Source organism: Homo sapiens, chromosome 2 (genome assembly GCF_000001405.40).
Source record: "Homo sapiens chromosome 2, GRCh38.p14 Primary Assembly".
Classification (NCBI taxonomy): domain Eukaryota; kingdom Metazoa; phylum Chordata; class Mammalia; order Primates; family Hominidae; genus Homo; species Homo sapiens.
The window spans coordinates 234,843,807-234,864,993 of NC_000002.12; the positions used below are offsets into that span (position 1 = coordinate 234,843,807).

A 21,187-nucleotide genomic window follows, 5' to 3' on the forward strand; every position below is an offset into this window, starting at 1 on the left:
CATGCTGGCCCGGAGAAGCACACACATTAAGCTTTGCAGTTGACCAAAGGCACTCCCAAACACTCCCAGAGTTGACAAGTTATGGCACTGAACGCTTTCTGACTTAGTCTTTACAGAAGTTGTGATGTTGCTTGGACAGGTGGCATTTCATTTTTGCGGTGATGGAAGTTGAGATTCACGGAGAAGTGAATTGGCCAGGTCCATTCCACTGGCACTAACCTGTGTTCTTCCCAGCCCACTAGCATATATTGAACCAGAAAGTGAACAGTCTGGAGACTAATTCAAATACCACTGAGGGGGATGGGGGATTAAACTATCCCATCGTTTATGGAAGTAATTTGGAAAATTAAAAATTCTCATGTCCTTTGACAAAGCATGTCTCTTCCAGGAATTTATCGTACAAACGTCCCCATGTATCGAAATGATACGTGTCTGTGCTATTCATTCTACTATTGTTTGCATTAGGAAAAATTGGAAACAATCTAAAGACCCTTTGCTAAGGAATATTTAAGTAAATTAATAAATTGAATCTATGCAGCCTTTTAAAAAGAATGAAGCAGATTGATATGCCCCCATGTGGAATGAGCTCCTAGATGTCGCATTGGAGAAGGGAGAAAACCATTTGAAAAAGAAACGTGTTGCTTTTGGGTGTAAAAAGCAAGGGATAAAGACAGTCATATTTAGAATATTTTATATGCTTGGACTCTCTAGAAGGTGAGGCAAGAAGTGGCAGCAGTGACTGCTACTAAAAAAGGGAGCCAGGGACATGGGGGTCTGGGGCCAACAGAAAAGGAACAAGCATTTACTTTCTACCCCTTCATCTCTTCTGAGATCTGTACATTGTTTATGGTCTGTTTACATTTTAAAAATACGTGGAGCATGGTGGCTCATGCCTGTAATCCCAGCATTTTGGGAGGCCGAGGCAGGTGAATCATCTGAGGTCAGGACTTCAGGACCAGCTTGACCAACATGGTGAAACCCCATCTGTACTGAAACACAAAAACTAGCCAGGCGTGGTGGCATATGCCTGTAATCCCAGCTACCTGGGAGGCTGAGACAGGAGAATTGCTTGTACCAGGCGGTGGAGGTTGCAGTGAGCCAGGATCACGCTAGTACACTCCAGCCTGGTGACAGAGTGAGACTCTGTCTCTAAATAAATAAATAAATAAATAAATAAAGTTTTGGCCAGTCCACTTTGGCCAACTTTCCCAGACACACCTTTAGTTTCAGTGTACTTGGAGTTGCTTTGCTACCAGGACTATGATGAAAGCAAAGAGGGGTCCAGAGAGACGTGACTGGAATCCTACTTCCAGAGAGAGATGAGTGGAATTTATGTATGAGTTATGGCTAGATCATGGAATCTCAGCTTGGAACAGACCCTCATGTCCCGTTAACCAATCCCTGCCAGACAAATGAATTCCTTCCATATACCCTGACCCTGACCATTGGCCTGAACACTTCCGTCTACAGAAGTCATGATGCCCGTTTCATGTTTTCCACAAGCATTCATGAGAAAGGCACATGAAAACACCTTGCTATGTGCCTGGCACACAACAGATGTTCAATAAATGGTGGCTCTGTTGAATGTGAATAATGCAAAACATTAGCTACTTGGAGGTAAAGCCTTCACACTCTTTTGGTATTCTGCCCATTTCACCTGTCACAAGCATTGCCTGTAGTGCTTTGTTGTTTTGCAGTGGCTTTATAATATTCTACTCATGGGGAACTGTCATTGACTTATCTGCACATTTAGTCTGCTTTGAAATTTACAGAGAGAGATATATACAGATGCTCCTCAACTCACAGTGGGATTCCATCCCAATAAACCCGTCGTAAGTTGACAATATCGTAAGTCAAAAATGCATTTTATGTCTCATCTAGCAAACATCATAGCTTAGCACAGCCTACCTTAAATGTGCACAGAACACTTACATTAGCCTACAATTGGGCAAAATCCTCTAATGCAAAGCCATTTTATAATAAAGTGCTGAATTGCTCATGTAATTTATCAAATATTGTACCGAAAGTGAAAAACAGAGTAGTTGTACAGGTGCCCAAAGTACAGTTTCCACTGTATTGCTTTCACACCATGGTAAAGTCAAAAAATTGTTCAGTTGAACCAAGATAGTCGAGAACCATCTGTACATAAATACAGATAAGCATCTTTTTGCACATAGTGTTATTTTTTAAATGTCTTTGTTTTAAGAACACAAATATCAGTCAAAAGAGTAAACTTTGGGGGTGTGTTCATGAAAAATAGCACGTTGCTAAGCCATTGATATTCAGAGTCACCCGGTCTAAAAACCAAAGTCCAAAATAAATAGGGAGTTCAGCAAACATGAACATGAGCCAAACAGGAGCCCTGGCAAAAAGCTCTAAAGATTGGGCTGGATGAAAGGACCAGCTTCTATTTATATTATCAACCCACAAACCTTCTCGGACAACCAGAGCCCTGTCACATTTGGGGACCTTTATACAATATCTCAGCTAAAAGCAAAAATAGCAAAGAGCCTGGCATTTCAAAAGGATAAAGAGACACAGTGCCAAAATTCAGAAAGTTTTCATTTCATTCCATCCCCAAAGAAAAATGTATTATCTGTTGAGGCAGAAAGAGAATAGAATAGCATTTTGGAGACAGAAGAGTTGGTCGCCCCCACACCCTGGGCAGGAGCCTGGGGTAGAGGAGAGACAATGGCGGGTGACAATGAATGAGGTGGAGGGACCTGTCTGAGCCCCTGCATTCATAACTGTGAACCTCCTGAGCTTACTTTGAGAATTACATGAGTTGGGAGCGCTATAAATGCAGGCCCCCAGGATCACCTTCCTTCTGAAATTAAACCTCCTTTTGTTGATGGGAGTCCCAAGGCCAGGGTGCTCTCAATGTAGACTCCATTCCTCCCTCCCCGCACATAATCTCTGTTTTCGGCACTGGCTTTTCCTTGCTCAGGAGGTTTCTTGGGTCTGTTGCTGTGGTCAGGGGCCCAGAGGAAAGCCAGCATCTGGGCTGCTATTCATCTCCTCACCATGGAATTCCCTCCTAATAAGGCTAAACTCGCAAGCAATGGCCAAAGAGGCAACAGAGTCTCTTTACTCACAGCCAGTCTGCGTAATTACGGCCTGATTACAGTCACCAGCACTTCCTCTGTGCAGAGCCTGTTCTAAGGGCTTTATGCGACCTTCTCCTGGGACCCTTGTAGCTGTCCTATGAGGTGGGCACAGATATGACCCTATTGTATTCATGAGGAAGCACCAGACACCCCTACTGCAGGGCTCTCAGGTAAGAGTTGAAATAAAACCCCTGGCTTAGGCTTAAAACAAAATCCTTGGACCAGCATAGTCAAATCCCACAGGGGATGGAGAGAGGAGAAGGAAGGGCCCTGGGTCAGCACAGAAGGTCTGGGTCCTTCTGAAACTCCTCCTAGGTGTGTTCCAGAAGATGTGGAAAAAGAGACACCTGACTAGTCCTGCCCCAGGCGGCGGATTGCATCATGAGTTCAGGCCTGTTTGGCAGAAGAGTGAAGAGAGAGGCACCCAAAACGCAGCCCTGTGCTTCGTCTCATGACCACCTTGGGGCAAGGGGTGGGGGACAGGTGGCCAAGCAATTAAGCAACTTACTGCTCAGACAAGAGAAAAGAGAGCAAAGGACATCAGGCAATGAGGAGAGGGCCTCCTCTTGCAGGACTGGTCTGCGTTCCTGTCGCCCCACTGAAATGCCTGTCCTTTTTGATAGGGCCCAATCTTGTCATTGTGCAGCCCAACTGCTCGTGGAATGCCGGGGCCAGAGCAGATGCCCAATAGGCATTTGCCAGCCGACGAAAACCAGATAATTACTGAGTTTGAAGAACTGCTCACTGACTGAACTCTAAGCATGACCCTGCCGCTGGCTGTGGTGAGGATGCATGTGTGGCCCCTGCCACCACCAGCATCAGCTACAGGACCCCGACTCCCCGTCTCGCTTTTCTGCTTCTCAGCCCCCACTAACCTCACAGCATCCATATCTCCCCCACATGCTCTCAGTCCCATCCCATAAGCCCTACTTGCGTTCACCTCCTCGGCCACCTTCCCATTGTACAGCTGGGAAAACTGAGACAAAACTCACCCAAGGACTGTCATGCTGACTTACTCTGGGGCCCCTGATGTGCAGTCCAGTGTCAGCCCTCTCCAGCCATAGGTGTGGGTGTGCCCCAGGCTCTGTCCACAGACTTTTCCCCATGTCCTCACCCCCAGCTGTCCTTATCTACACCTTCCAAAGCTGATGATGCCAAACATCAACCAAGCTCCAGAGACGCTCACATTTCTCGTGCCTGGGAGCTCTTCCTTCCCCTCTCAAAATACACACACACACACACACACACACACACACACACACGCACAGACAAACAGACACACACACACAATTTCTCAGGTTGGGGAAAAGGAGGAGGGGCTTTATTCCTCTTGGGCCTGTGGACTCTGGGTTTTCTAATACCTCTTGTCCATGTCTTATGATACGGCCACAGGCTTTGTAGCAACAGAAATCCAAGGTCAAATCCTAATGCTGCTTCTTCACTCAGGTAGGCATATTACCAAATGTTTTTGATGCTCAGTTACTTCATCTCATCTGCAAATTTGGGGTAACTAGTCTTGTGTGATAGGGTTTCTTTTTAGGGTTAAACAGGATTGTAAATATGAAGGTGCTTAGCAGAGTTTCTAGCCCGAAGCCCGTCTTCAATCAGTCATTTCTCTTCCCTTCTCAGCAGCTGCAGCAGGGGAGGGCTGCCTGCCGTTGTCACCCCAGGAGGCCCCAGTTCCAGACAGCAGTTGAAAATGAACCTGTTGTAGCCCTGAAAGATTCCTTCTGCCCACTCAGATCATGGTGGCCTCTCTCAGTGCACCCAAAATCTTGGAGTCCTAATTCATTCTCCTTGCCACACTCAACTTCTACACAATGGGCTGCCCCTTTTCTTTCATCCTTTGCTAGGAATGTTTTGGAAAGGAAGTACTTTGAAATACAATCTGACCCACTCTCCCAGGTCAGGCTTGGGGGTATAAATATAGAACAAATCTCAAGGGCAGATATTTTCACAAGCATCAGAAATTTTAATTTGCATTCTTTGGAGACCTCAGAACTACTACTCACTATCTAAATTTCTCAATTTCACTTTACTTTTTTAATCAAATATTGCTCTTCATCCTAGTGGGAGGCCTCTTGGCTTTTAAACATGACCCAGTGCTTCCCTTTTCCATAGAGACCCAGATATCAAAACCATAACTGCTGGCGTCTCAACTGTGCCCTCATTTTAAAATCCATAGAGTCATCAGGTTTGGACTCAGTGACGCCCTGATGGAAGAATATCTGTAACCCAGCATCTGATCACTGAATATCACTGCATAGTGATATTCAATGAATATTAGTTTCTCGTTTCCTCTCTTCTCCTTTCAGACCATGGCATCTTTTCCTATCTGTTGTCTTACAGAAGGGTTGGGTGCTGAGTTCTAAAGCTTACTGGAAGAAGCCAAAGGGATTACACTTTTCCTTTTGTCTCTGTCACTCTATTTTCCCTTAAAGCTCAATTTCTAGATAAAACAGAAGGCATTGTGAAAAATTTTAAAGGAAGTCAGTAGTGTTCACTTCGGCATGCTGTTCCTACTGCAAAAAAAAAAAGAAAAAAACATCTAGTGGATTGCTTTAATTTTCATATATTTTCCCACTTAGCCTCTTCCTTTACCAGAAGGACCACCATTTAATTTGCTGTGACACTCAAAGACCCCAGCATAAAAATATGCCTCTTGCCTCTGCTGATAACTGAAGAACTTCCAATGTGTGAGAAATCAAACGCCAGCAAGACAGCCTGGTCCTGAGCCTCACAGAGGCAGGAACCAGGCACGGATGCCTGCATCTCAGCACTATTTTTGTGAAAAAAAAAAAAAAAATAGAAGAAGAAAAGAAAGCAAATTAAGACTACTTGGAGCACATCTTAGATGTTAATTTAGAAATTCGGCCGGTTGCACCACATGCCAGAGAAGCATAAATCTAAGCAGCATCTGGCTGACGGTTTACTTCCTGAGAACTCCAGATAATGAAGCACCTGATTTAACCTCTCTTGGGGATAAATATATGGAGATTATGATTCTGTAGAAGAATCATAGATCAACCTGGATCTGGAAAGTGAAACCAGTGGAGATTCAGACGTTCATCAATTGTTGCATTTGGTGCATCTGAATCCTGGAGGTTATATGATTAAAATAGAAATGTTGTGCTAGGAAGAATTCTATGGAGAGCCAGGAAGGCTTGAGATTATTAAAAATTTATTTTTTAAAAAAGTAATGAGAAAGGAAGTCGCTCTGGGATTGAATGAATGTCTAACTGGTTTTGTTTGTGATGCGCCTGGAGAATCCAGGACTGCCCAGGTGTGTTGGTCTGTTCTCGTGCTGCCATAAAGAAATATCTGAGGCCAGGCAATTTATAAAGAAAAGAGATTTAATTGGCTCACAGTTCTGCAGGCTGAACAAGCATGGTACCTGCATCTGCTCGGCTTCTGGTGAGGCCTCAGGGAGCTTTTACTCATGACAGAAGGCGAAGCAGAAGCAGGCATGTCACATGGTGAGAGCAGGAGCAAGACAGAGGAGGAAGGTGCCATACACCTTTAAACAGCCAGATCTCAAGGGAACTCACTATTGCAAGGACAGAACCCAGACACTCAAGAAGGACCCACCCCCATGACCTCGACACCTTCCACCAGGCCCCATCTCCAACACTCAGGATTACATTTCAACGTGAGATTTAGAGGGACAAACATCCAAACTCTGTCACCAGGTATGCAAGCTTTAGCAGTCAACTGTTGCTACACAGCAAGCCACCCCAAGATTTATTGATGTTTAACAACAACAGTTTATTGTTTTTCATGGGTCTATAAGGTGCTTGGGCACGGCCAGGCTGATCTCAGCTAGGCTTGCTCCACTGATGGGTCAGCTACAGGCTGATTGGTCTCTGACGTCTGTGGCTGGAACCCCACAGCTCTCCTCCATGTGGATCTCGACCTCCAGCAAGCTAGAATGGATTATTCTTGAGCTTGTGGCAGTGGGAGATTTCAAAGGTAATTAGAAGTGCCCACTGCCTCCTAAGGCCTAACTCAGAGCTAGCTTGCCTTCATTTCTGCCACACTCTACTGCCTAGAGCAAGGGACAAAGATAGTCCAGGTGCCAGGAATGAGAAACAGACTCCATCCCCCTACACACCCCCTGACAGGACAGTCTCCAAGGTCACATTGGAAAGGGCGTGCATACAGGAAGCAGCGGAGAGCTGCAGTCATTTTTGCAACCAACGTCACAGGACTTCCACATCTGGTGTCTGAATATTGTCACTTCAACAACTACTAAACTTTCTGCTGAAACATGGTAACTAGGAGGCAAATGCGACACCTGAGAGCTTGAAGAAGGAGAAGGAAGCATATAGACACTGTGCAAACTACTTACAGGGCTCAGCTACCTGGAGAAGAGCAATCATATCCTTCAAGGTTGATAAGGAGAACGCAAACAGAATAAGGGACAAAAGCAACCACAGTTCGACCACTCTCAGAGCACTGGGATAGAAAAGGTAACTTGAAAGGAGTGTAATATGGTTTGGATATTTGTACCTTTCAAATCTCATGTTGAAATATGATCCCCAATGTTGAAGGTGGGGCTTAATAGGAGGTGTGTTTGGGTCACAGGGACAGATCCCTCAGGAACGGCTTAGTGCCATCCTTGCTGTCATGAGTTCTTGCTCTATGAGTTCCCAAGAGCTGGTTTTTGAAAAGAGCCTGGCACCTCCTCCTCTCTCTCTCACTTCCTTCTTCTCTCATCATGTGACACCGACGCCCCCTTTGCCTTCTGCCATAATTGGAAGCTTCCTGAAGCCCTCATGCAGAAGCAGATTCTGGCAGCATGCTTTGTGTACAGCCTGCAGAACTCACGAGCCAATGAAACCTCTTTTCTTTATAAATCACCCAGCCTCAGGTATTTCTTTATAGCAACACAAATGGACTAAGACAGAGTACTATAGTAGGGTTTGGTACACAGCGTGGCTTTTTCCAACACACAAGATGTGAGAAATGCCTTTTTTTGGTATTTCAATGAAACAAGTGTCACATGCTCTCTGTATGCCACCAGCACTGAACTGATGGTAAATCCAGTGGCAGCCTTTTCTGAGTCTCCTTCCTCTACCCATGGAGCTGCCATTGTCCGGAAGCTGATATCTGTTTCTTCTCGTGTCCATGACCACCAGTCACCTCTGACAGGCTCCATGTGCAAGCATAGACATGGGGATATCCATGCAGGCTGGAGTATTCTGAGCTTAGGGTCCAGCCATCCCTGGAAGCATCACCCCACCCTGCACCTGCCAGCTCCCTCATGCTGTGAAGAGCAAGGCAAGGTGCCCACAAGTCCTGAGACACAAAAGCCTCTGCCCCCTTTCCCAACTTGGGCAAAGCTCTTGGCCACATTCCACCCATGTCCCATGGCTCCCAAAGCCCCACATGACCTTTGGGCCATGCAGCTCAGCTCTTTTCTAAAACTTCTAAACTCCAACCTGGGTGCCAACGGAGTCCAGATTTTCTGGAACTTAAAGAAGAAAATGGTGATGGAGTTAAAGAGGGAGAAGAAAAATGTTTCTCTTTTTTCCTGACCCTTTCACAGAGGCAAAATAAAACATAAATTAATATTTCAATATATGATTCTGTCCCTTTTCAGCTTCTCTCTAAACTTGTCATCAGGGTAGCTAGCAAGAGGCAAGCTGGTCTGTTTCCTCACCATCTGCCCTGCCCTTTCCTCATTGAAAGACTTTGGAAGAGTCTCTAATGGGAACACTGGTGTCCCCTTCCCAGCTTCACCAAGGCACAACCCAGCACACACTTTCTTTCTTTCTTTTCCAATATAAAGAAACAATTAAAATCAGCTTAGCTCACAGCAAAACTAGCTTTTATTTAGCTTGTGCTTCCTTTTATAAAGCAGGTTCTTTCTTGAGCCTCACCAAAGTCCTGTGGGTGAGCCTTTTAAGGGATATCCCATGGTGAAGCCACCATCACCCCAATCAGGGCTGTCTTCATGATAACTTCTGAGTGACTGTGACCATTTCTCTACCCTGAAGGCCCCTTCAGCTCCTCAAACTCAATGCATCTAATCCAAGAGTCTTTTACCCTGAAACCACCTCCCCTTAGGGGTCTGACAACAGGACCTTCCCTCTCACTGGCATGAGACCTCAGGGCCCATCTGCCCTTCCTTCCTCTCTCACCAAGCCCAGAGTCCCTGTGATGCCTCACTGCCTTGGCTCACCCTTCTTTCCCATGCCCACGACCACAACCACATGCCTCTCCTCACACCCTGATTCCTCACAGGTCTGCCTGGTCACAGCTTCCATCCCTCTCTGCTCCAGTGCCTATGGGGAAGTGTCTGCTCTGGGGAGACTTTTGAGATTTAAAGGATCTAAGATGAGGAACTTGTGTGAGGAAGCCTCCATTTAAACAATTCGTTCACTACGGAGAGAGCCGGGAGAGGAGGAGTACCAGGTCGCCCTGCTGCAGGTCTGCAGTGCTGGTCCCACAGAGTGCAAGGAACACATGGAAAGAGCATTTGCTGAATCCAGATGTAAGAAGACTTATTGACTCCCATTCCCCTGCACATCCCAGGCTGGCTCAGAAGGCACAATTCTGCACTCTGGTTGATATACTTCAGGGGCTCCCCATAACTTCCAAGATCAAGGCTAGAGATCTCAGGCCCCCATTCAAAGACCTTCAAGGTATGGCTGCAATCTCCCTCTCTTAGGTTATCGCTCTCTATTCCTGCCTCTGGAGATTCCAATCTTTGTAATTAAAAACTCCTTTCACAATCCCCTGAGGGGTTTTAGGATTTTTTAAAATGATTTTTATTAATTTTTTATGATATTTGATAAAGAAATAATTTAGGCAATATCTTGTTGTATGCCATAGTAAATGCCATAGACTGAGTGGCTTATCCATAACAGTTTATTTATCACAGTTCTGGAGGGTGGGAACTCCAAGATTAAGTTCCTAGCAGATTCAGTGTCTGATGAGAATGCACTCCTGGGTTGATAGATGGTGACTTCATACTGTGTGCTCACGTGGTAGAGGGAGCACAGCAGCTCTCTGGGGCCTCTTTAATAAGAGTAGGAATGACATTCATGAGGGCTTTGTTCTCATGACCTAATCACCTCCCAAAGGCCTCACTTCCTAATATCATCATATTGGGGATTAGGTTCCAACATATGAATTCTCGAGGAACACAAATATTCAGACCATAACAAGTAATATTCCTTACTTTACAACAAAGTATTCCTTACTTTAGATGAGTATATTATTAAAGATTTATTATGGGTCCACAGCTCCTTATCTGCAATGGCAAAATCCAAATGCTCTGGAAAACAAAAAGTGTTCTTTTCTACATTTGACGTAAATTTGTTTGTATGCAAATCTGACCTTAACTAACATGAGGTTATTCAAAGTCTATATTTATCCTGCATGGTGTGAATATTCATAGGTTTCACTGTAGAGATATTAATGTATTTAATTAATATCCCATGGTGAAGCCACCATCACCCCAATCAGGGCTGTCTTCATGATAACTTCTGAGTGACTGGGACCATTTCTCTACCCTGAAGGCCCCTTCAGCTCCTCAAACTCAATGCATCTAATCCAAGAGTCTTTTACCCTGAAACCAGCTCCCCTTAGGGGTCTGACAACAGGACCTTCCTTCTCACTGGCATGAGACCTCAGGGCCCATCTGCCCTTCCTCCCTCTCTCACCAAGCCCAGAGTCCCTGTGATGCCTCACTGCCTTGGCTCACCCTTCTTTCCCATGCCCACCACCACAACCACATGCCTCTCCTCACACCCTGATTCCTCACGGTCAGGCCTCAGACCTCACTAGGGAGTTTTACATAACATATGTTTTGTGCAGTGTATTGCTTTTTTAAAATCTCAAAAATTCTGAAATCTGAAATATCTGCCTTAAGATTTTTAACTAAGGGCTAATGGACTGGTACAAGTTTATTGCAATAAACTTTCAATAGTATTTTAAATATATCTTTTAAAATCTATAGGAACACCCTATGTAAAGTAATGCCAATCCCCACTCTCCCCTTATATTGGTTTAAAAAATATGTCCACAAGTTCTTTGCTATTTCTTCCTGCAAAAGGTGGAGATTAGTTCCCTTCCCTTTGTATATGAACTGAACTTGGAGACTCACTTCTAATGAACAGAAGACAGCAAAAGTGATAGTATGCCATTTTCAAGATTAGGTTATAAAAAGACTGCAGCTTCCTTCTTGGACGCACACTCTCTCTTGCCCTCTTGCTCTTTCCCTTGGATCACCTGCTCTAGGATAAGGCAGCTGCTATGTTATGAGCTAATCAGTGAAGAGGCTCCAATGTTGAGGAACTGAAGGAGACCTTCCCCAACACCTAGCAAAGAGCTGAGCCCCTTAATCCAACAACCCATGAGAATCTCAGGCTTGTCAACAACCACATGGGTGAGTTTACAAGCAGATCCTTCAGCCCCGGTTGAGCCTTAGATGAGATCTCAGCCAGGGGCAACAGCTGGACTGAAGCTTCATAAAAGCCCTTGAGTCAGAACCACCCAGTTAAGCCTGTCCCATATTCTGGGTCACAGAAACTGAGATAATAGATGTTTGTTGTTTAAAGTTACTAAGTTTGGGATTATTTGTTACACTGCAATAGATAACTGACATGCCCCTCAGCATTCTCTAGCATAGTGCCCATTCTCTGTTCTTATTCCACTTTATCATAAGCTGAACACTTTATTTTTTCATTTTTTATTTGTTGTTTATCTTCTCCTCCTCCTATGGGGGAAGGGGGAGTCGGTGAACTCAGTGTTGTATTCACACCACTTAACACAAGGCCTGGATCAAGGACAATGAACAGAGGGGGTGGGAGGAAGGCAAATTATTCTGGGGCAGTGAGGGTTTTGGTGCAGTGTTAACAAATAACATAATAATTTGAAAAGTCCAAAGCCCAAATGTCAGCTCCTCTCTCCCCTTCTCCCATCATTTGGTCCAAGTGGTCAGCAGGACCCCTTGCTCTCACACAGACGCATCTTCTCCCCTCCATCCTCACTGCCCCCACTCCCTCCCAGCCTCCATTCTCCCTCACCAGTGTCCTCATTGGTCTCACTGTTTTCTCCTCTTCCCCCATTAATCCATTCTAAACGCTGAATGTGTGCATGGGGTCGGGGGGAATAAAGGAAAACTGAGGATCCATTTATTTTTCCAGGACTTTAAATGAATCTAAACCCCCTTCCCTCAAATAAATTAAGAACCAGTGGTTTGAATAAGATTTCTACTTCTATTGACTCTTTCAATACGGTAATATACAAAAAAATTATGCAAAAGTATTCTCAGTTCTAAAGAGAGTGAAGATCATTCCCCTCATGCCCAGGTGGTGAGAGTATAAATCATATTCTTTCCAGAAAGTAGTTTAGCCTGAGGTTCAAAAAGAACTATCATAGTCTGTTATCTACTAATTTCACTCCTAAGAACCTTGCCTGAAGGTGTATCTTGGGGCTCCAGCAAAGATTTGAATAAAGATCCACGTACAAAGATGCTCAGCAGTTTGCATATAGTGGATTATAAGCAACTCTAGAGGCCCACAATGCAAAAAGGTTTAAACAAATCAGAATATAGCCATTAAGTGAATGTTATTCATCCAGTAAAACTATCTTTCAAGATTTTAATGACATAAGAAAATGCTCAGCCTGGCACACTGGCTCACACCTGTAATCCCAGCACTTTGAAAGGCCAGGGCTGGCGGATGGCCTGAGGTCAGGAGTATGAGAACAGTCTGGCCAACATGGCAAAACCCTGTCTCTACTAAAAATACAAAAATTAGCTGGGCATGGTGGCATGCACCTATACTCCCAGCTACTCAGGAGGCTGAGGCAGGAGAATGGCTTGAACCGGGAGTGGGGCAGAGGTTGCAGCAAGCCGAGATTGCGCCACTGCACTCCGGCCTGGGCAACAGAGTGAGAGTCTGTCTCAAAAAAAAAAAAAAAAAAAGAAAGAAAGAAAGAAAATACAATATAATATAGCGAGAGCGAGATACTATATATAAATGTATTTGTTCTCTAACACACACACATATGTGCACAAATATACCTGCATGTACATGCCTGCAAAGACTGGAAAAGGAACAGCAAAAAGTTGCCAGCAATGATCTCTGAATAAGGAAATAATGGATGATTTTTTATTTTTTCTTTCTAATTTTACATATGGCCCTCATTTTCTACACTGAATATAGAGACTTTTATATCCAGCTAAGAATTATCATGTTCGTAAATGAAGAACAGGAAGGCCTATGCAGGAAATAATCTGAAAATAGCAGCTAAGACCCTTATTAGACCTTAGACTCTCCCCGCCCTGCGCCCAGTTATGCCGCCACGACAGGCAGTCAGGACCCAGGGGAGCATGAACCCCAGGTGTCGATGGACTCCCCACAAAGGGTCTGTCTGCCTTTCCTGTCCTGTGACTTCAGCGGCTGTACCTGTCAGGGAAGGCTGGCTGGTGGGAGGAGCAGCACTGGAACCTCGCTGGTCTAACACTGCAGAAGTTTCTGTTTCCAGCTCAATCTGTAGGGCAGAGGGGAGGAGAGGTTGGGGGGACTCTACTCCACACCTTCCTTCAGGGACCCAGCTTGCTGCTCTTTGGGGGTGCTGCCATCCTCAACACGTGGCTTACAGGGTTCTCAGGGAGCAAGGGGAGGGAGAAAGAGACCGAGAGAGAGACAGAGAGAAAGAGAGAAAGAGGATGAATCCTGCCTGGCCGTGGGGTTCCACGCTTCTGCCTTCATTCCTCCGCCCATCTCAGTTACTCGGTTCCCACTGCCTGCGAGGGCCTGGGAAGTGTAGTCCAGCCAGATGCCCAGAAGAAGAGAGGCACGGCTTTTCCTGAGTGCCAGCATGCGGGGCCTAACAACCCTCAAAAATGGCACCTCCTCAAGGCCGGGTGCCGTGGCTCATGGCTGTAATCCCAGCTGCCTAAGAAACACAGCTGCACGAGGCGGGCAGATCACAAGGTCAGGAGTTCGAGACCAGCCTGACCAACATCATGAAACCCCCGTCTCTACTAAAAATACAAAAATTAGCTGGGTGTGGTGGTGCACGTCTGTAATCTCAGCTACTCAGGAGGCTGAGGCAGGAGAATCGCTTGAACCAGGGAGGCGGAGGTTGCAGTGAGCCGAGATCGCACCATTGCACTCCAGCCTGGGTGACAGAGTGAGACTCCATCTCAAAAAAAAAAAAAAAAAAAGGCACCTCCTCCAAGCTTATGTGGGGCCTGCGGAGTCCTATGGTTGGAAAAGGGAACAAGGGGGCCACCACCACCTCCCAACCCCTCCCTGCCGGAGGCTGCGCAGAATCCGCCATCCACAGGCCAGGCCTTGTCTACTTCAGGTCTGTGAGCCCCAGCAGTGTGGACCCAAATCCTCATCAGGCTTCCGGCTGCCAGGGCTCTTCTGCCTGTGACAAACAAGGTCTCTCCTCTGAAGGAATTTCCAAGCTTCTCTTTGCTGGAAGGCAAAGGAGGATTTGGACCCGCCTATGAATAGCAAGGAAGCTGATGACTGAGAGTTAGCTTTTATCATTGCCGGAGCTGCAGGCCTTTGGGGAAGTGATAAGCCTCTCCCACTCCCGAAGCCCTTGTCCTGCCCTGCCCCCCACCACTCCCACCCCACCCCACCTCCACCCCTGTTAAGCTCAACCATTTCAGGCCAAGTCGTCTGGTTATAGAATGAAATGTACAGAGCCTTCCCAAACACGGCCTCACCCAAGCGAGATCCCGGAGGAAAAAGTTGGAAGAGAAGGTGCAACAATTAATTCTGGGGTAAATTAATGGGGCAAATTAATTCTGAGCCTATGATGAGCTCCTAGGCAAGAACTGCATATCAAACTAAAATGCAGGCATTGTTTAAATCTGACTCAGGGGAGGTTGGGGAGTTTGCTACTGAAAAGAAAGGGTTTTGAAGTCGAGTCTCTCTTTAAAGTTTAATTGGGTCCTCAGAGGACATGAGTTTGCCCTACAGAGGAGATTCAGTAAACGTGCCTCAGGCTCCAAAGGCAAATCCCAAAGCAAGTGGCCTCCAGAGGTGCGCTGAGCTCCACGCCCATTGGAATGGCAGAGGGCTTTTCTGAAGGGGCCAGGCTCAGAGGAGGAGATGGGGTCCTGAGAAGCCATGGGTCCAGCAACCAGGGCTGGGCTTTCTTCCCAAGTAAGTGTGCTAGCAAAGGCCCACAGGCAATGCCTCTCAAAAACTTCCACCAAAGCATTCCAGACAGAAAGGTGAACACATATTTCAGGGGTGGAGTCATAGTCCTAAAGAGTTGGCACGAAGTAGGTCTCTTTATTTATATTTAAAATTCACAGGAACCCTGAATCCAATTCCATAAACACACACACACAGAGATGCTTGTTTAACAACGTCCAAGAAATTACCATCAAGTACCATTAAGGTGCTGTGTGCTCCTTGGGGCTTCATCTCATAACTTAATTTAGCACCTGCTACTCTCAAGTGTTGATCCCTGACCTGCAGCCTCAGCATGCCCTGGGAGCTCTAAGAAATGCAGGATCTGGGCCCCATCCCAACCCAGAGAACCAGAATCTGCACTTTTTTTTTTTTTTTAGATGAACTTTGGCTCTGTCACCCAGGCTGGAATGTAGTGGTGTGATCTCAGCTCACTGCAACCTCCGCCTCCCAGGTTCAAGCGGTTCTCCTGTCTCAGCCTTCCGAGTAGCTGGGACTACAGGCACCTGCCACCATGCCTGGGTTATTTTTGTATTTTTAGTAGAGACAGGGTTTCACCATATTGGCCAGGCTGGTCTCGAACTCCTGACCTTGTGATCCGCCCACCTCAGTTTCCCAAATTGCTGGGATTACAGGCGTGAGCCACCGCGCCTGGCCAGAATCTATATTTTAACCAGATCCTGGTGTGACTCATTTGTACATCAAAATCTGAGAGGTGTTGCTCTGCCATGTGTTGTGAAGGGTGTGAACATCCCTGCCTAGGAAACATAGCTGCACAGACTTTTCTGGAAGTTCTGCCAGTGATTCTTCTCCATCCTACCGCTCGTTAACCCTACTCTCCACTTCGTTGCTTGGTTTTATCTTCTCCAGAGCACTTACCTGATATGATCTTGTTTGTGTTTGGAATACAGCTTCAGGAAGCAGGATTTGTTACAGCTTGTGAAACAACCTCACTTACAACAGATGCTCAATGAAAGTGTTTTAAGTGAATGACTCTAACAGGGAGGAGAGAAGGAGGAGATGTGGGGTGGGTTGTAAAAGGTAAGTCAGGGGTCAGTCTTTTTATGAGAATTTCTCTACAAAGAACAATGTATTTTTTCTCTTGAAAATGATAAACAAAATGTCATATTGGAATGTCCACACCATAATCTGTACTTAAATGTTCATATCAGATTTATTCATAATGGCCAAAAACAGAAACAGCCCAGATGTCCATCAATGGAAGAAGAGTTAAACACACAGTGGTATGTCCACACGAAGGAATACTAATCAGCAGTTAAAAAAAATTGCTCTGCTAATTTTTGTATTTTTACTAGAGATGGGGGTTTTACCATGTTGGCCAGGCTGGTCTCGAACTCCTGACCTCAGGTTATCCACCCGCCTCGGCCTCCCAAAGTGCTGGGATTATAGGCATGAGCCACCGCGCCCAGCCTAAAAGAGCCAATCTCTAAAAGGGTGAATATGATATAATTTTATTTACAGACTAGTGGTTGCATAGGGTTGGTAGAGGAGAACGAATGTGACAATAAGAGGGCAGCATGAGAGATATTGGGAGGGTTGGAGCAGTTCTGTATTTTGATTGAGGTGGTGGTTATAGAAATCTACACATGTGACAAAATTGCTTAGAAACACACACACACGAGTGCATGAAATCTGAATAAGATCTGTGGATTGTACCTAGGTCAATTTCTTGGTTTTGATATTGTACTGTCTCAGTGCATTTTCTGTTGCTATAACTGGAATACCTAAGACTGAGTAATTAATAAAGAAAAGAAATTTATTCCTTAGAGTTCCAGAGGCTGCGAATTCCAAAGTCTAGAGGCTGCATCTGGTGAGGGCCTTCTTGCTGGTGGGGACTCTCCGCAGAGTCCCGAGGTGGTGCAGGGCATCACATGGTGAGGGGACTGAGCATGCTGGCTTAAGTATCTCTTTCTCCTCTTATAAAAGAGCCACTAATGCTCCATCCTCACTTCCCAAAGGTCCCACCTCTCCAATACCATAGTCAGATTTCCCACCCCTTAATACTTTCACAGGGGGGATTAGGTTTTAACATGAGTTCCCGTCGCATATTACAAATCTATAAGATATTAGTATTGGGGGAGACTGGGTAAAGCACACACAAATCTGCTCTACGCTGTTCTTGCAATTCCTATGAATCTATAGTTTTTTTAAAAACAAAAAGTTTTAAAACATTCTATTGAAGTATCCATGGTTTAGCTAAGGGCTATGCCTTCTTTTAAAATGTGGAAGAATTTTATACTGTTTAGCACAACCTAACCATAGAAATGTTTTGAATTCCACTGTACAATATGTGTGTCCCTAAAGAAGAAACAACTGTGCCAAAAGCCATTAGGTGCCGACTTTCACTTGAATCTTAGAAAGAAATAATGCTGTGAAGGCTTTCTTTTTGCTTCTTGCATGCCAGTGCCGGGGCAGGGGCCTGTGGAGAGCTGCCTTGCTCAGGTGGAAGGAGACTGAGCAAAGCACTCCAAGAAGGCTGCATCGCGTTTAGGGGCGGTGGGGTTCACCACCATTGCCTGATGGTGTTCGAGACCCCACATGAACCCACGACTCAACCTAAGCAACAGAAATGATGTCCAGGGCAGCCAGGACCTGGTCCAAGAGAAGCCATGCCATCATCTTCCCCAGCCACCTGCATTTTGAGGAAGGGGCACTGTTGGAAGAATCTCCCTGACTTGAACCAGCAGTAAGGAATTACAAGGGTAGGCAATTGGAGACCTTCATCTCCTCCCTGCCCCTCTTAATATCTGGGTATACAGTTCTTACTTGGGTCAAAATGTGTGTGGCCTACAGAAACTAAATGGGAGCACTATAAATAATGCAAGCTATTCCAAAGCCATTACAACAAAGGCAAGCTTGAAAACTCAAATGCCTGCAGGGGCTGGACAGGAAAAGGAGCGCGTGGGCCAAGCAGGACTGTGTGAACTGAAGAAACAAACTGGGTCTAAGGGAACCTTCTCAGCTGACTGCTCCCTGGGGACACGGAGTCACCAAATGTCCCAGCTTCTCAAGACATGCCAGAAACCTGGGTTTTCATGTAAAATGCACTGCTTTGAATGTAATAAAATTGTTTAAGACATCACATGCACGAAACAAGACACAAGTGCCAACAACATCTGACTTGTTCCTACCAGTCCACCTCCCCCGCAAGCCACTGTCCTTAAGAAAGAAAGGCAAGGACCAGGGGAAAGCCAGCAGGTCAGTCTGGGCCACGAGACAGCAGCTCTGCTACCCTTGACCTTGACATTTGTCCTCAGGCCTCTGGAGCTGCAGTGGCAGAGGAAAGCGACTTCACAGGAGAGAGAAACCAGATTGAGCGACATTGGGAGTTTGAACTGGCTCCACCAAGAATTTTTAAAAGGGACCAGGGCACAGTGGCTCACACCTATAATCCCAGCGCTTTGGGAGGTCGAGGCAGGTGGATCACTTGAGTCCAGGAGTTCGAGACCAGCCTGGGCAACATGGGGAAACCCCATCTCTAAAAAAATACAAAAATTAGCTGAGCATGCTAGCACATGTCTGTGGTCCCAGCTACTTAGGAGGCTGAGGTGGGAGGATCACTCGAGCCAGAGTTGCAATGAGCCCAGATCATGCCACTGCACTCCAGCCTGGGCAACAGAGCCAGACTCTCAAAAAATAAATAAATAAAACTAAAAAAGGGATGAGCCGGAACATAATGTATTAATGTGAGCTTTTCCAACCTTCCATCCTCCAATCCAAGAGGGGAGGAAAGCTTGAGGAACACGATGTGCAGACCGGGGCTGAGGCTGGGGGACCAGGGAAGGGGAGGGTGCGGTCTGAGAACACTGGAGGGTGAGTGCAGTGGGTTTAAGGAAAGCTGCCAGGGACTAAGATTAGATCATCTTTACTGTCCTTCAAGAGGCCCAGGTAAAAGCGGAATTACTTTTGACTGTTACACTGTGTGTTAGAATTCAATAAGACCTTGCTGAGACTCGGCCAGTTCAGGTGAATCTGTTTACTGTGTAGAAATTCTTTCAGTTCCATCTGCAAACTGAAGGAGAGGCTTTATTCCCCCCGTAGTCTGCAGGTCTAAGGATGCGCTCTGTAAAATTTCGTAAGCCTCTGGGACTTGCCCAGCGTTCTCAGTGGTGACTGTCTTAAAAGCGACAATGTTGTTTGGGAGCATGGAGGTGAAGTGAAGAGAGGGCAGCTGCTCCACTTCGTGGCCTACGTGGGGAGGAGAGAAACTCCCCCTCAGGTTAAGGGCAGAAGACTTGTGTAGGGAGGGGTCATGTCATGAGGAAAAGCTGCACCTGTGACATGGGGGCAAGACAGGGCTTGTCTGATAAACTGGTGAGACTGCCCGGCTGAAGCCCATTCTGAGGGGGGATTGACAGACGAGCCTCTTGGAAGAGAATTTTCCCAAGGGAAGAGAGCCAGGCAGGCAAGGTCAGGCCGGAACAAAGCCTTAGTCATCCGAGGACGACACACTCCGAGTCCAGCCCACGTGACCCTGATCCAGCCCATGGAATCTGGCTGAAATCCTGGGAGAAATGACTTGGAGCCAAGATGAAAAGAGGTGTGCTCATCACAAGTCAGTCAGACCCTGGGGGTGCCAGACGGGGAGAGGGGCTTCATCCCTGCTTCTTCCCAAAGCAGCCCTCAGCTGTGCTCCCATATGTGACCCGCCCCCACCACCTCACCCCAGGAAGGGCCCACAGGGGTCAGAGAAGCACCTGGGTGCCTGGGGAAGGAGGGCCAGAGTCCACAAGGGACACTCCCAGGACTTCCAGGACTTCTGGGGGTGGGGCAGCCTAAGGTCATCAAATAACAGGAAGGGGCAAGAAAACACATGCTCCAAGAGTGAAAGTGACCCCAAGCTAACATCCAATCTAGGAGGCCCAAGAAAGCCCAGAAGACAGGCGCATCCACATGTCCCCCCATGATTATTTTTTAGGGTATCATGTTTTACTTTACTAAAATTGTAAGCTCCTTGAAAGCAGGAATCTTTGTCTCTTTTATTCGATGCTCCGTTCCGGTGACAGAAAAGTGCCTGGTGTATAGTAAAGTCAATACTTATTGTCTGATAAATTTCCCATAGAGTTTCACCATCATAGGGTTTTTTTTTTTTTTTTAATCAATTGTTCTCAAGCTTTTTGTAGCAGCAGATGGTCTTCTTGAAATAAAACCTCGTGGGGAAGCTCAAAAAGCAAAACAGATAAATGTGGAGTTCCTCTGATAGAAGAGGAGATGGAATGAGGGATCTCTGTCCAACGCAGCCCAGCCCAGCCCCATGCCTTATGGCTGGCCCTGAGAATGCTTCAGGCAATTCCTTAGGCCACAAAGAAGACAGCTAAAAACACAAATATGGTCATTTTGTTAAAAACGAAGCTGACAGAGATGCCCATGCAACCTTTCCCCCTGGTGGCATTTGGAAAAAAACTCAGTGATATGAGATGAAGCCCCAGGGAAAGGATTAATGCTAGCTTAGCATATGGACGGATGGAGAAGCTGAAGTCAGGGCACCCTTCAGTTCATTATGCAGGGACGGAGGGCAGAGCAACCCAAACCTGGCACATCATGCTCCTCCAGCCAACATGACAGCACCCGGCGAGCCCTGACACCTCATAAATATTCATGGCCTTTGGCTCAGCAGTTTCTGAATATTCCTAAGTTTGAACTCTGCCTCCACACTGCCCGGGACAGGAAGCCAGGTGGAATTGAGACACAGCCCTTGCAGTTTTATCAAATGGTGAGTTTAATTCTATTATTATTTTATCCTTCCCCAGAAAACTCCAGTTTTGCATTTATATTGAGTTACTCCTGGCTGTGTCTAGCAACAATGACACAATGTCCCTGTCAGGACACATCCCAAGCCACGGGGGTCATCCTCTATCTCCCATTCATACGGGTGTTTCTAAC

At 46.1% G+C, this 21,187-nt stretch overlaps 1 long non-coding RNA gene across 5 annotated transcripts in view, besides 3 other annotated features; it reads right to left on the reverse strand.

Annotated features, from left to right (window-relative positions):
• LOC101927896 (uncharacterized) overlaps window positions 1–21,187 on the reverse strand; it is a 95,712-nt gene that overhangs the window by 50,629 nt on the left and 23,896 nt on the right. The gene's annotated exons all lie outside the window — the stretch shown is intronic.
• Window positions 19,180–19,752: an enhancer, noted in NCBI's record as "H3K27ac-H3K4me1 hESC enhancer chr2:235771630-235772202 (GRCh37/hg19 assembly coordinates)". NCBI's record gives its function as "activates a minimal SCP1, AML or CMV promoter by ChIP-STARR-seq in naive H9 embryonic stem cells {active_cell/tissue: H9 hESC(naive)}" and the evidence as "EXISTENCE:reporter gene assay evidence [ECO:0000049][PMID:30033119]".
• Window positions 19,180–19,893: a biological region, named in NCBI's record as "Sharpr-MPRA regulatory region 15004".
• Window positions 19,599–19,893: an enhancer, noted in NCBI's record as "tiled region #15004; HepG2 Activating DNase unmatched - State 5:Enh, and K562 Activating non-DNase unmatched - State 24:Quies". NCBI's record gives its function as "activates a minimal TATA promoter and a strong SV40 promoter by Sharpr-MPRA in HepG2 cells, with weaker activation in K562 cells {active_cell/tissue: HepG2 | K562}" and the evidence as "EXISTENCE:reporter gene assay evidence [ECO:0000049][PMID:27701403]".